Source organism: Homo sapiens, chromosome 12 (genome assembly GCF_000001405.40).
Source record: "Homo sapiens chromosome 12, GRCh38.p14 Primary Assembly".
Lineage (NCBI taxonomy): Eukaryota > Metazoa > Chordata > Mammalia > Primates > Hominidae > Homo > Homo sapiens.
This window is the reverse complement of record NC_000012.12, coordinates 61,662,867-61,678,185: the sequence shown is the minus strand read 5'-3', so window position 1 is coordinate 61,678,185 and position 15,319 is coordinate 61,662,867. Positions and strand designations below refer to the sequence as shown.

Below are 15,319 nucleotides of genomic sequence, written 5' to 3'. Positions count from 1 at the left end.
CATTCTCCAACCATCTATTTCTCTCAAACCAAAAATAAAATGTATTTTTATTTATGTGTAGCCCTCCTATTAAATTCAATTATACTATCTATATACCAAGTTCTGCTTTCTACTTCTTCCAGTGGAATGTTAGCAGAAATGAAAAGTCCTTTGGACTGGGCTTTAACAGTCTTTTTCATGCCCTCTATCTCTTTTTCACTGGTATTTCTGGCTGGAAACTCACTTGTGCAATGCCCAGAGGGTAGTAGAGCTGTTCTTCTAACCTGAACCCTAGACAGCTTGAAGGAATGGAGCCTGCACACCAGTCTTTTTAGAAGTAAACTTCTATCTTATTTGAACCATTGCTTTCTGGATATCTTTGCAATAGCAATTTGGTATACCTTCCTCACTTGAAAATTAGAGCCATATTTAATTTAGATTACATATGTTAAATGCCTCTATCCTCATCTTTGTATGTACAATATGGAGTTTGGTTGTTTTTTTAATCCTGCTGTCTGTTGCAAACAAGCCTGGTTACCACACTGATGTGATCATTTACTTGTGTCAGCCTTGTTATCCGAGGTACTAATAGTTTTATGCTGTCTGTCTGTAATTGTCTGTACAATTCAGATATTAAAGATGTGGAGTTTTCATCAGCTATATTTATATAGCACTAGCCTATATTTTCCTGTTTGCTACTGCACAGATCCATGTGATCCTTGAATCAAGGTAGCTTCATTCTCTTCAAATGTTCATTTAGTCTCCTGCAGTGAATGCCACTTGTCATTTCTCTCTAGGCTTTGGTGGGATTGGCATGTGAAGATAACAGGATCTTGTGTTATTGGCTACTCTGGCATGGAGGTGTAGTGAGCTAATAACTTTGACTGAGTCTTGTGAAAAATGCTATCCTCTCATTACTCATACCTCATACTATTTTTACTTTTTTGCTGCACTATTATATTTTCTAATTATTAGGTTTATGGTACATATTTGATTATAGATATTTTGGTTCTCTTTTTCCTTTAAATCTTTTCCAAAAGATGTAATTTATCCATACCCAAGAAAAAAAGGAACCTATGTGACACAAATTAACAAGGTTTTGCATGTTTTTATTTAGTATGTAATTATTTTTCCAAAATAATGACAAAATCAGAATGGTTTTTGTAAAGTTTCTGATCATAAACATAGAAAAAAAATAAAGGTTATGAACTCCAAATTAGTGATAGCCTTTTGTTTATTTTAAAATGCAGCAATTTTCTTTACACCTTTCCAATTTCATGTCCTTTAAAATTAGAAAGAAAAAAAATCCACTGAACATCATGCAATTAGAAGTGCCATTAGGAAAGGGGTCAATGGATTGGCTGGAGAAAGCTGGAAGCTTGAAATGACTGTCTACAAGGTGATCAAGAACACAGCACCTGGATGAAGGGAGGAGCAAGAGGAAAGGTGGTGACAGTAAGCAAGGAGAGGTGAGTCAATGCTTTAGGAATGTCAGACTACTCAATATGAGAATCATGGCTTTGAGGCATCAGCTGAAAGAGGCCAATGGGAGCAGGATGGTCTCAGAAGAGAGGAAAATAAACTCATGGAGATCAGTATTCAGTTTGAGGGATGTGCACTTCCTCTGCAGGAAGGTTGGTTGGGACAATTCTGGTGTACTAAGCCCTACTAGACTTGCTCACAGACACTTTGCAGGAAAACTAGGGCAAGTGAAAAAATGGCACTTCTTTACAGATGTACCACTGAGTGGACATTTTAATTTACTATAATTCCAAGTAAAACTCTACAGTACCGTTAGTTTTATTTGTTAGTTTGTTTTCATTCCAGATAACCTCCAGAGTTCTTGCAGGTTGGATTATGGAGACGAAAAGTTTAGGTATACCAGTCAGCCAACTCAGTATCAGACAAGGCCATGTTTACGTTTTCCTCCAGGTCTCATTGCTCTAAGCCCCCACCTATTACATAGTCAAAAAAAAAAAAAAAAATCACCCTTTTCCTTGGTTTATTCGTCCGATTTTTTATCCAAACCTTAAAGATACTCATCAACCTAGGAATGTGTTTCTCACCTGGAGGTCTGTGGTAAACTTGGGATGAAAATCACAAATATCTTAGTTGGCCAGAGGCAGTGCTGCCGCAATCAAGGGGATTCACTTGCCTGAGGAGTCACTGTGTCTGTGGGGAAGACAGGGCTCTGATGCTAGTAGAAAAAGCAGAAGTCTGTGGCTTCTGCTGCAAGTTACATGCCCAGGTTTAGTGAGGTAGAAAAGAGAATGATCCTGCTTTCATTTCGCCAAGGGATGTACTGCCGCACCCCCTGGGGCCAACAGTGGTGTTATGTCCGTTTGGGGATTTTGCCCTTGGTGTTTCCACAAAATTTGCAGAAGGTGTCACGGAGACTAGACCAGCATGGATTCCACTGTCAGTGCAAGTCCTGCTGGAGTCTAACTGTATCCTACAAACACACTTTGGTCTTGGGATTGCAGCTACATCATTAGTCCAGGCTATTTTATGGTGTTCCCTCTCAGGAGCACTGGTGTTCCTTTTGAAGTTACGTTTCAATGGGATTGTTGTAATGCATCAGAAATATTTTTATGTTACTACACTTCAGAGAATGTCCTTTTTTACCGCGAACCTATTCACCTTCCCAGGAAGTATATATGAGTACTTGCAAATGGGAACTTTCAAAGATGAGGATTACCCAACTCCACGTATGATCATCCAAGATCTCAATAAACATTGTCCAGAGATGGATGTTGAGAATGTTAAAAACAATAGCATTTTGGCCCATAGTATAAATAGGAAATTATAATGTTCTGTTATTCTAAATAACTTAGGAATTTGAGAGAGAATACACAAAAACGGGCGTAATAAAACCTGGCAATTTGGGTTTCTTGTTCTGGTAATAACCATCATATCTGTGTCATCAATAGGCATATATGAAATGCCCTTTGAGCTGGACATTATGTTGAGTGCAGTATGGAGTGAGATAAAGATTCATCTAAAGCATTGAAAACTTTGCTAAAACAATATTTTGGGGGATAACATTTGCTGAAAACTGTATTTCTTATCTTCTCTCTTCTTACCTTTGTATTTCATTCCATATTCTTGTTATTACTCAAAGTGTTAATTCTTAATCTCCTTAGAGACCTTTCCATGACTTTGCTGGGACTAGGTATAGAACAACTAAAAAGGAACACATTAAATTCAGCCATTAATTAAGGGTGCTATAGGACACAATTTAGAATCATGGACAATTTACAAACTTGTGTGTGAATTAGTACTACCATACTGTATTTCAAAAGGTTACAGATAAAGTAAAGTTGTTCTTCTCAGGGAAATCTACATATGGGTACTTAGGATGAAAAAAAAGGAGAAGATAGAGTTTATGCTTTCAAAGAATAAAAAAAGGTAAGTGAAGGCAAATATCAATGACATTTGAATTGAGATTGAGAAGACTGCTGCTATAATTTCTATGGCTCATGCAGTTGCAGTTTTGAAATAAAGCATTCAAAACTTTGCTAAATGAGATTGCTCATTTCCGTATTGAATAGGCAAAAGATAATACCTGCTATAAAATGAGATGTAGCTCATTTTACCAAGACCCCCTGGAAAATAGCCTCTCTCACTGTTCACTACTCCTTCAGGATGACAGTGTCATTACGGAGAGATTTCTAGTAGCCAAAATTTTGTTCTTTCCTTTACAGAGTATTAGGGATTATAAAACATTAGAATTGCATACTGTTCATGGTAGAATCTTTGGAGAAGAAATACCAAATATTTAGAATAGTGGAGGTCTTTTTTCCTCTCAATAGTTTAAAAAAATGAGAATGTATATGTAGTGTCTATAGTTAACTGGACTAAATTAGTAAGCTGGGAAGTAACATGTGAAAAACATGAGCTCTTTTGAAAAAAAAGACTTTCACATCAAACAAACTAAGCAAAATATTTTGGCCAATAATATATTATTTATAGGTTTTATAAAAAATAAAAAGACAAAAACCCTTTGTGTTCAAGCTAGAGCTAACTTAACTGAATTGTGTTATTTGTGAGTGAAACTTATCACTGGTGTTTCATCCTACCTGTGTCTTCTTTCTCTGAGGTCTAATGCTCTTGCTCATGCCATCGGTTACCCACTTCTGCCCTTCCAAAATAGTATTTTATGCTCTATTTATCCTTTTAATTTTGCCTTCCTCCTTCAGCCCTCCATTCAAATCTACTCTTAGTTATCAGAGTGGAAGAGAGTGGGATAAATCTGTTACATATCTATGCCTACACTATGGTATGACTGACATGTAGCTTTAAATGTTCTTCAGAAGTATTTGTATAACCTACAAAAATAATCTCTACTGTGGAAAACGACACCGTCTTAGAGCACTTGGACTGCTATAACCTATGCCTTCAACTGGGTAATTAATAAAAAACATAAATTTATTGATCGTAGTTCGGAAGGCTGGAAAGTCCAAGATCACAGTGGCAACAGATTTGGTGTCTAGTGAGGGCTCTCTGCTTCATAGACAGCATCTTGTTGTTATGTCATCCAAGGGTGAAATGGGGTGATATGGTTTGGCTGTGTCCCCACTCAAATCTTGAATTGCAGTTCCCATAATCCCCGTGTGTTTGGAGAGAGAGCTGGCTGGAGATAATTGAATCATGGGGGCAGTTTCCCCCATGCTATTCTTGTGATAGTAAGTTCTCATGAGATCTTATGCTTATATAAGGGGTGAGATCTCATGCTTACATAAAGGGCTTCCCCCTTTGCTTGGTTCTCACACTTCTTCTTCCTGCCATCATGTGAAGAAGGACATGTTTGCTCCCCCTTCCACCATGATCATAAGTTTCCCGAGGACTTCTCAGCCATGCAGAACTGTCAGTCAATTAAATCTCTTTCCTTTATAAATTATCCAATCTTGGGCAATTCGTTTTTTTTTTCTTTTTTCTTTTTTTATTTTATTATTATTATACTTTAAGTTTTAGGATACATGTGCACAATGTGCAGGTTAGTTACATATGTATACATGTGCCATGCTTGTGGGCTGCACCCATTAACTCATCATTTAGCATTAGGTATATCTCCTAATGCTATCCCTCCCCACTGCCCCCACCCCACAACAGTCCCCAGAGTGTGATGTTCCCCTTCCTGTGTCTATGTGTTCTCATTGTTCAATTCCCATCTATGAGTGAGAACATGCGGTGTTTGGTTTTTTGTCCTTGCGATAGTTTACTGAGAATGATGATTTCCAATTTCATCCATGTCCCTACAAAGGACATGAACTCATCATTTTTTATGGCTGCATAGTATTCCATGGTGTATATGTGCCACATTTTCTTAATCCAGTCTATCATTGTTGGACATTTGGGTGGGTTCCAAGTCTTTGCTATTGTGAATAATGCTGCAATAAACATACGTGTGCATGTGTCTTTATAGCAGCATGATTTATAGTCCTTTGGGTATATACCCAGTAATGGGGTGGCTGGATCAAATGGTATTTCTAGTTCTAGATCCCTGAGGAATCGCCACACTGACTTCCACAATGGTTGAACTAGTTTACAGTCCCACCAACAATGTAAAAGTGTTCCTATTTCTCCACATCCTCTCCAGCACCTGTTGTTTCCTGACTTTTTAATGATTGCCATTCTAACTGGTGTGAGATGGTATCTCATTGTGGTTTTGATTTGCATTTCTCTGATGGCCAGTGATGGTGAGCATTTTTTCATGTGTTTTTTGGCTGCATAAATGTCTTCTTTTGAGAAGTGTCTGTTCATGTCCTTCCCCCACTTTTTGATGGGGATGTTTGTTTTTTCTTGTAAATTTGTTTGAGTTCATTGTAGATTCTGGATATTAGCCCTTTGTCAGATGAGTAGGTTGTGAAAATTTTCTCCCATTTTGTAGGTTGCCTGTTGACTCTGATGATAGTTTCTTTTGCTGTGCAGAAGCTCTTTAGTTTAATGAGATCCCATTTGTCAATTTTGGCTTTTGTTGCCATTGCTTTTGGTGTTTTAGACATGAAGTCCTTGTTGGGCAATTCTTTAGAGCAGCGATTCTTTAGAGCAGTGATATGGTTTGGCTGTGTCCCCACCCAAATCTCATCTTGAATTGTTGTTGCCATAAATCCCCTGTGTCATGTGACAGACCTGGTGGGAGGTAATTGAGTCATGGGGGTGGTGACTCTCATGCTGTTCTCGTGATAGTGAGTGAGTCCTCACGAGATCTGATGGTTTTATAAGGGACTTTACTCCTTTGCTTGGCGCTTCTCCTTCCTACCACCGTGTGTAGGAGGATATGTTTGCATCCCCCTTCTGCTATGATTATGAGTTTCCTGAGGCCTCCCCAGCCATGCTGAACTGTGGGTCCATTAAACCTTTTTCCTTTATACATTACCCAGTCTCAGGTATGTCTTTATTAGTAGCATTAGAACAGACTAATACAGTAAATTGGTAATGCAGATAGTGGTGTGCTGCTCTAAGGATATCAAAAAATGTGGAAGTGACTTTGGAATGGGGTAACAGGCAGAGGTTAAAACAGTTTAGAGGGGTCAGAAGAAGAGAGGAAAATGTAGGAAAGTTTGGAACTTCTTAGAAACTTAGAGGGCTCAGAAAACAGAAATATATGGAAAAATTTGGAACTTCCTAGAGATTTGTTGAATGGCTTTTACCAAAATGCTGATGGTGATATGGACAATGAAGTCGACGCTGAGGTGGTCTCAGATGGGGATGTGGAAATTCTTTGGAACTGGAGTAAAGGTCACTCTTGCTATGCAAAGAGACTGGCAGCATTTTGCCCCTGCCCCAGAGATCTGTTGGAGTTTGAACTTGAGAGAGATGATTTAGGGTATCTGGCGGAAGAAATTCCAAGTGGCAAAGTATTCAAGAGGAAGCAGACCATAAAAGTTTGGAAAATTTGCAGCTTGACTATGCAAAAGAAAAGAAAAACCTATTTTCTGGGAAGAAATTCATGCCAGCTGCAGAAATTTGCATACGTAATGAGGAGCTGAATGTTAATTACAAAAACAATGGGGAAAATGTCTCCAGGGCATTTCAGAGACCTTTACGACACCCCCTCTCATCAAAGGCTTTGAGGCCTAGGAGGGAAAAATGATTTTGTGGGCTGGGCCCAGGAACCCCCTGCTCTGTGCAGCCTCAAGACATGGAGCCCTGAGTTCCAGCTGCTTCAGCTCCAGCCATGGCTAAAGGGGTCAAGGTACAGCTCAGGCCGTTGCATCAGAGGGTGCAAGCCTTAAGCCTTGGAGGCTTACATGTGGTGTTGGGCCTGTGGGTGCACAGAAGTCATTAATTGATGTTGAGGAACCTCTGCCTAGATTTCAGAGGATGTGTGGAAATACCTGGATGTCCAGGCAGAAGTCTGCTGCAGAGCTGAAGCCCTCATGGAGACCCTCTGCTAGGGCAGTGTGGAAGGGAAAGGTGGGGTTGGAGGCTCCACAGAGAGTCCCCACTGGGGCACTGCCTAGTGGAGCTGTGAGAAGAGGCCCACTCTCCTCCAGGTCCCAGAATGTTATATCCACCAACAGCTTGCACCATGTCCCTGAAAAAGCCACAGACACTCAACAACAGCCATGAAAGCAGCCAGGGGGAGGGCTGTACCCTGCAAAGCGACAAGGGCAGAGCTGACCAAGGCCATAAGGGTCCACTTCTTTCATCAGCGTGACCTGAATGTAAGAAATGGAGTTAAAGGAGATCTTTTTGGAACTTTATGGTTTAATGACTGTCCTATTAGATTTTGGATTTGCATGGGGGCTGTAGCCCCTTGGTTTTGGCCAATTTCTCCTATTTGTAATGGACGTATTTACCCAATTTACCCATTGTATCTAGGAAGTAACTAACTTGCTTTTGATTTTACAGGCTCATAGGTCAAAGGCACTTGCCTTGTTGCAGATAAGACTTTGAACTTGTACTTTTGGGTTAATTTGGGGGACTGTTGGAAAGGCATGATTGTGTTTTAAAATGGGAGTACATGAGATTTGGGAATTGCCAGGGGTTGAATGATATGGTTTTGCTGTGTCCCCACCCAAATCTCATCTTGAATTTTAGTTCTCATAATCCCCACATGTCATAGGAGGGACCAGGTGGGGATAATTGAATCATGAATGAAGTTACCCTCATGCTGTTCTCATGGTAGTGAGTTCTCATGAAATCTGGTGGTTTTATAAAGGGCTCTCCCACCCTTAACTTGGCACTTCTCTTTCCTGCCACCATGTAAAGAAGGACATGTTTGCTTCCACTTCTGTCATGATTATAAGTTTCCTGAGGCTTCTCCAGCCATGCTGAACTGTGAATCAATTAAACCTCTTTCCTTATTAATTACCCAGTCTCAGGTATGTGTTTATTAGCAGCATGAGAACAGACTAATATATAGCATGAGAATGGACTAATACAGGGGGTCAGCAAAGGAGCAAACAAGCCTCTCCAGGACTTCTTTATAATGGCACTAATTTTACTCACAGGACTCTGCCCTTGTGATCTTGAAAGAAATAATAATATTTTATCCCAAAATATACTACTTTGACATATTTCAAGATGGCTGTTCAGAGGACATGCAAACAGAAGTAGCCCTGCTAAACTGCCTTTTGAGGGGGAGATTTGCATCTGTAGAGAATCTGCATTGATGCAGCCAGGCTTTCTCTGAAAGCCTCCCTCATCTGGATCTAGGGAAGTTTAACTGAGAGTCTGACACCTTTAAAAGTCTGATGTAAACATTTACCATCTATTTTCTCTCAGGGCTGTGAGACTTCATTCACCTCTCAAGACAACTTTTGCCAGCCAGACACACAAGACCACCTTCGCTAGTTAGGCCTCCTCTTCTTCTCTTTTTATAACCTTCTTTGTCACTATTACCTGTTTTGCATGATCTAAGTCCCCATTCTTTCTGTAACCTCAAGATGGTATATGAGCTTCTGAACTTCAAGTGGTGAGGGTGTGGGGTGAGGAAAGTGAGGTAATCATTCTATGATTCTTTCTCATGTGCATGTTAATAAATTTGTATGCCATGTTACTGATTCATTTCCTTTTGTGAACTGACTTTTCAGCAAACCTTCAGAGGGCTAAGGGGAAGCCCTTCACCCCTACAGTTTTGGCACTGTGAACAGGATCTCATCAAAGCTGCTCTGCTTTTCAGGGAGCCACAGTGAAAGAAACCCAGGACCTGACAAGCCAACAGAAAGGTAAGAATTTTTACCAGCCAGGCTCCTGGTCTCTCTTCCTGTGGAATTTGACTGAGCTGACGCTAAAAACCCACTATTTGTCTCTCTTTTTCTCTGCAAAGTTCTGATTAATAGGAGAAAAAAATTTGTGTGAGTAGTCTTGGGTATAGCAATGCTGGTATATTTTATGGTATAAATATTCATATTGTTTGATTCCTATCATACCCAAAACAGACTATGTTGGTTAATACTGAGTGTCAACTTAATTGGATTGAAGGATGAAAAGGGTTGTTCCTGGGTGTATCTGTGAGGGTATTGCCAAAAGAGATTAACATTTGAGTCACTGAATTGGGAAATGCAGAACCACCCTCAATCTGGATAGGCACAATCTAATCAGTTGCCAGTGCAGCTAGAATAAAAGCAGGCAAAGAAATGTGGAAAGACTAGACTGGCTTAGTCTTTTGGCCTACATCTTTCCCCCATGCTGGATACTTCCTGCCCTCAAAAATTGGACTCCAAGTTCTTCAGCTTTTCGGCTCTTGAACCTTCAACCACAGACTGAAGGCTGCACTGTTGGCTTCCCTATTTTTGAGATTTTGGGACTCGGACTGTATTCCTTGCTCCTCAGCTTGCAGAGGGCCTTTTGTGGGTCCTCACCTTGTGATTGTGTGAGTCAATACTCCTTAATAAACTCTCCTTTATGTATACATGTATCCTATTAGTTCTGTTCCTCTAGAGAACCTTGACTAATACACAGTATTTTCCTTTGTTTTTCCATGTTGTTCTGTCATAAAAGGGATATTATAGGGTAAAACACAGGCCTAAAACCACTATAATCCCATTGCTCAAGCTGGCCCTGCAGACCAGTCAGTTTTGCCATTCTGATCAGAATGGTATATAAAATTTGCTGTCTGTCCCCAAAATAAAAACTGGATGAGTTTCCCCTCTTGTCTTGTTTTATGTCTTTGAGGGCTTGACTTTTGACACAGTGGGAACACTCTGGCTCTGCACCATCTAGGGGGAGGGGAATGATTTTTGGGTCACATCTGGTGGCCAATCTGAAAAGATTAGGAATCCAAGACACATAAGATTCTATGCAACACACTCTTTGTTCTGAATGTGTCATGCTCTCAGGGGAGCTTGTCTTAAGACATTCCATTCCCACGAACTTTTGTCATCTCAACTCTTGTAGCCTTGTTAGTCCAGGAAATGTTTAATCCCAGGAGGGCCTAGCTGGTGTCATGGATTGACAGATCTATGATGAGCAGCACCCACAAACTTGTGGGTAACCAGGCCCTGTACACATAAACACCATCCTTAACCATCAGTGGCAACAAGAGACTTTTGCTATCTTAACCTATTCTTTGAAGCAAAAGTTCTGGAGAGAGATCTTTGGGATTGCCTCTCCTATGCCTTCTCCAAAAAACATCAATTTAGTCTTATTCTAAACCTATAAAATTACACCCTGAGCTTTCTATGAAGTTGCCACTGGGTTGAGTCACCGTTGGAATAAGTACACTATTGGAAATTCTAATCATTAGTGGATCATTTACATTAGACAGACTACTAAATTACAAAAAAAAGTTTTTAGAGATCTCTCATTTTAAAAAATTGTTTTATTTATTTGTATTTATGGAGACATCAAATTAATAGAAAAACATATAATAGTGTCATGATAGAAAATCTTTTGACTAAATTAAAATGCTAAAATCTACCTGACCTAAAACAAAGTTAAAATTCTTTATATGCTCAGACTGCCTGCTTTAGACCCCACACAGAACTGACAATGAAAGCTGCCCTACCTTGTAATCTAGAAGATACAATTCTGTTCCATCACTATGGCCTGGATTCAATTCCCAGTTAAAGAGCCAGACCCCTTTCATTTGATATTTTCTGACTTTTGCCTTTTGGGAGGACCCATTTATTGTTGGGAAGAGGAACGTTGGTAAAAATAATAAGGTTCAAAAGCCAGTAATATCAGGGATATCAACTATTTATCCCGGCTAAAATCTGATACTTAGAGACTTTTTAAAAGTTTTTTTAAAGTGCTCCTTTGTCAGAAGTCATATTAATTAGAAGCTGATATTCAAGGTCTTTCTGATTTTGGATCTGTTTTTGAATTTTTTTTTCAGTTGTCTGAACCCCTTTTTAAGATTATGTAATTTGTCCCTCTGTTTTCTGTTTTTTTTTTAATTTCCCCCCCATTTATTTCTACTCCTTGCCTCTCCTTCCTCTTTGCCATCTTTGATACCACATGAAGAAATCTAGAAGAGACTTCTAACAACCCTGAAATACCTAGAAGAAAATAGAAAAAGACACCACACACACTGATTCTGGGGTCTTCTCTCTTCTTCCTAGTGGATCCTGAAAATCTACTTTGCCCTCGTTTACAGCTTTGCTCTCTTTTGCATTGAATCACCTGATCTCTTTGGCTTTTGGGAGTACCAGGAGTTACTTTGTACTATAAGAGGAAACCTTTGTATGTGCAATGGCTGGTGGGTTACTGGCTATAGTTTCAGAGGTGGCTGACAGTGGTTGCAATAAATAGTTATTACTGAAAGGGGATATGCACTTCTTGGCACCTTAGATAAGAAATGGATGCTTTGAACACTTGAAATATATGGGAGTGCTCACCACCAATGTATAAGACTCCCATGGGCGACGAGCTAATCATAGTGGGCTGACTGGCATTGGGTCATGCACCAACTTTGTGGGGGATCTCTTTTTAGTGAGGTATACTGTGGGAACATTGCACGGCCTAATCTCATGCATGGTGTTTTCCTCTTTGTGGGGACCTAGAATCCAGTGTAAAAATAAAATCTTTAATTTATGTGGATCTGGGTATTCTACCTTCCAGTTGTGCCTGCTTTTTATATATTAAATATTAGGCCCTAGAAACTGCAAATGCTTGGTTGACTGTATTCATTAATGGACTCTGCCTTGAGCTCAGGTATGCAGTTAGAAAACAGACTAAATTAAAAGCCATCTATCTAACTAGATTGCTCTCCAAAATATGACTTTCTGGTATTCAGCTGGTTATTTTGAAAAGGTTTTAAAATTTTCTCTAGAGTCACTTGTCTGTTTTTGTGTAAAATCCTGTGATTAATTTCTATGATTTTATGTTACCTTGGCATCCATTTTTAATCTCCCTCTAACAAATCCAAACTCCTTCTTAAAAAATTTTATTTTTTTCTGTGTCTTGATAAAGAAATTTGCTACTCTTTTCTTCTCTAAAACTTGGTGAGTGCGTGGGCCATATGAGACAGATAAACTTTAATCTTTTCTATTTACAAAAGCAAAATCTAAATCCAACTGCCCTTTTAAACGAGTAAGTTTTACCTGCCTCCTGGATAAAATTTTAAAATAAAAGTTATAAGTTTTTTTGTGTTTCTCTGTATTTTTATGTATATATGTGTATACATATCATACACATCTGTTTGTATATTATCTGCATGATATCAAATTAACTTGTAAGTATATGAGTACTCATAGATTAAGTAAATAATCTCAAATTCTTTTAAAGTTCACATGACTTTAGTAATCTTTGGTATATAAAGCCAGTTTTTAAATTACTGGTAAAATATAATACAAATGTTTTCAAAATTTAATTTAGAGATTTTTGCCTGGATATATTCGTTTGATAGGATTAGAATGTTTCTGATAAATATTCAGTGATACTTTTGATATTGACTTACTTTGTAAGTTTATGTCTTGGTTTTAAGCTTTTAGATTCTGAAGACTAGACTAGTGGCCAGAGTGAGTGTTGGAAATAGATACCCAAAGTTCTTCCTGGCCTAGCTGTGCCTCTTGGCCATGCTAGGAAGGGTTAAGTCCTCCAGACATTGTCTTCACAACTCTGTTTTTTTGTCCTGAGCTCTGCATCTGTTACATAATTAAAACTGCTTATTTCCTTAGTTTTCCACCAAAATTAAGGGTTACTAAGAGTTAACATTGTAATTAATTTATGCAATTAAAACTACTAGATATGAGAAACAATTCAATATGCAAAATGTGTAAGAAAGATGGAATGTTTTTTAATAAGGAAGATTATTTTTAAAAGGCATTAAATGTGGCTTTTGTTAAAGGAAAAATAATTTTGTCTTATTTAGAGGCTATTTAAAGGTTCTTTTAAATTCAAAAAATATGAAAAATTGTTAAAACTAAATGGATATTAAAAAGTTTGTATTTGTCCATTTTTGTATTGCTATAAAGAAATACCAGGGGCAGGCCAAGATGGTCAATTAGAAGCAGCTGATGTCCACAGTTGTTACAGAGAAGAACAAAAGCAGTGAGTTAATTCTACACCTTCAACTGAGGTATCCCGGTTCTCACACTGGGACTGACTAGGTGTTCAGCATGACCCTTGGACAGTGAGAAAAGGCAGAGTAGGGTGATGGCCCACCCATGAGTGGCATGGAGCCAGAGGAGCCACTACCCCCTGCCAAAGGAGGCAGTGAGTGATTGACTCTACCCAGGAAACCACACTTTTCCTACAGATCATTGAAACCTGCAGATCAGGATTCCCTTGTGAGCCTGCACTACCACAGCCTTGGGTATGAAGCAGAGAGCTGTGCAGACTCTCAGCAGCCACTTGGGCAAGCACGGAGACTCAGGAGTTTTTGCATACTCCAGCCCTGGTAACTTCAGTGAGGGAGGAGATCTGTCCATTCCCCTAGGAAGGGAGCTGAAGCCACAGAGGCACGCAGTGTCATTCAGTAAGCCCCATTCCCATGGCACCTCACAAGTTAATACCTACTGCCTTGGGATTCCAGCAAGCCAAGGCCAGCAGGCTGGAGACTGTGTGAGACAACCAAGTTCCTGGGGAGGGTTGGAGGAGGGGTGCCTACCATCTCTGTGGCTCAAGTCAGCTGTTTTGGCCTGCCAGCTCCAGGGAGTCTGGGCAGTCCAGAAAAGAGAAATTCCCCACAGTTGCAGCACAGCTACTGTTACAGATCGTGGTCAGACTGATTCTTTAAGTGAGACCCCAATCCATCCCTCTCACTGGGCCAGGCCAATCTGCATGAGTTTTGGCATCTTGAGTCAGGGTTTTATGAAACGTTGATCTCCCTGGAATGGAGCTTTTTGGGGAGGGGCGGCTGTGGTCTCTACGGTTCAGCTGACTTAGTTTTTTCTGCCTGCTGGCTCTGAAAAGTCTGGGCAATCTGGAACAGGGGGTTCTTCCTGGAATAGTGTACCTGCTCTGCCAAGGGGTAGTGAGACTGCTTTTTTAAGTAGGTCCCTTATCCCATACCTCCTGACTGGGTGAGACCTCACAGCAGGGGTCTCCAGACGCCTCCTGCAGGAGTATTCAGGCTGGCATCAGGTCAGTGCTCCTCTGAGACAGAGCTCCCAGAGGAAGGAGCAGGAAGGCCATCTTTGCTGTTTTGCAGCTTTCACTGATGACCCCTCCAGATGTGAGAGGGATTCAGGTAATGGAGTCTGGAATGGGCCCCCAGAAAAATGCAGCAGCCTTAGGGAACAGGGGACTAATTGTCAAAAGAAGAATAAACAAACAGAAAGCAACAACAACAACAACATCAACATAAAACACCCCACAAAAACACCATTCAAATGTCAGCAATCTCAAAGATTCAAAGGTAGATAAGTCCACACAGATGAGAAAGAAGAAACACAAAAGCACTGAAAACTCAAAAAGCCAGAGTGCCTCTTCTCCAAATGATCACAACACCTCTCCAGCAAGGGCACAGAACTGACCTGAGGCTGAGATGGCTGAATTGACAGAAGTAGGTTTGAGAAGGTGATTAACAATGAACTTTGCTGAGCTAAAGGAGCACGTTGTAATCTAATGCAAAGAAGCTAAGAATAATGATAAAACATTATAGGAGCTGATAACCAGAATAGCCAGTTTAGAGAGGAATATAAATGACCTGATGGAGCTGAAAAACACAACTTGAGAACTTCACAATGCAATTACAAGTATCAATAGTCAAACAGACCAAATGGAGGACAGAATCTCAGAGCATGAAGATTATCTTTCTGAAATAAGACAGGCAGAAAAGCTTAGAGAAAAAAGAATTGAAAGGAATGAACAAAAACTTCAAGAAATATGGGATTATGTAAGAAGACTGAACCTACGACTGATTGGGGTATCTGAAAGATACAGGGAGAATGGAACCAAGTTGTAAAACATACTTTAGGATATCATCCAGGAGAATTCCCCCAAT

General features: G+C 39.8%; 1 long non-coding RNA gene across 1 annotated transcript in view; it reads left to right on the top strand.

Annotated features, from left to right (window-relative positions):
- LOC105369793 (uncharacterized) overlaps positions 1-14,739 on the top strand; it is a 39,321-nt gene extending 24,582 nt beyond the window's left edge. The window contains exons 6-7 of the long non-coding RNA XR_945013.4: positions 1,274-1,448; positions 9,021-14,739. This is a non-coding gene — a long non-coding RNA (uncharacterized LOC105369793). The remainder of the gene's footprint in view (positions 1-1,273; positions 1,449-9,020) is intronic.
- Positions 14,740-15,319: the final 580 nt, after the last annotated feature.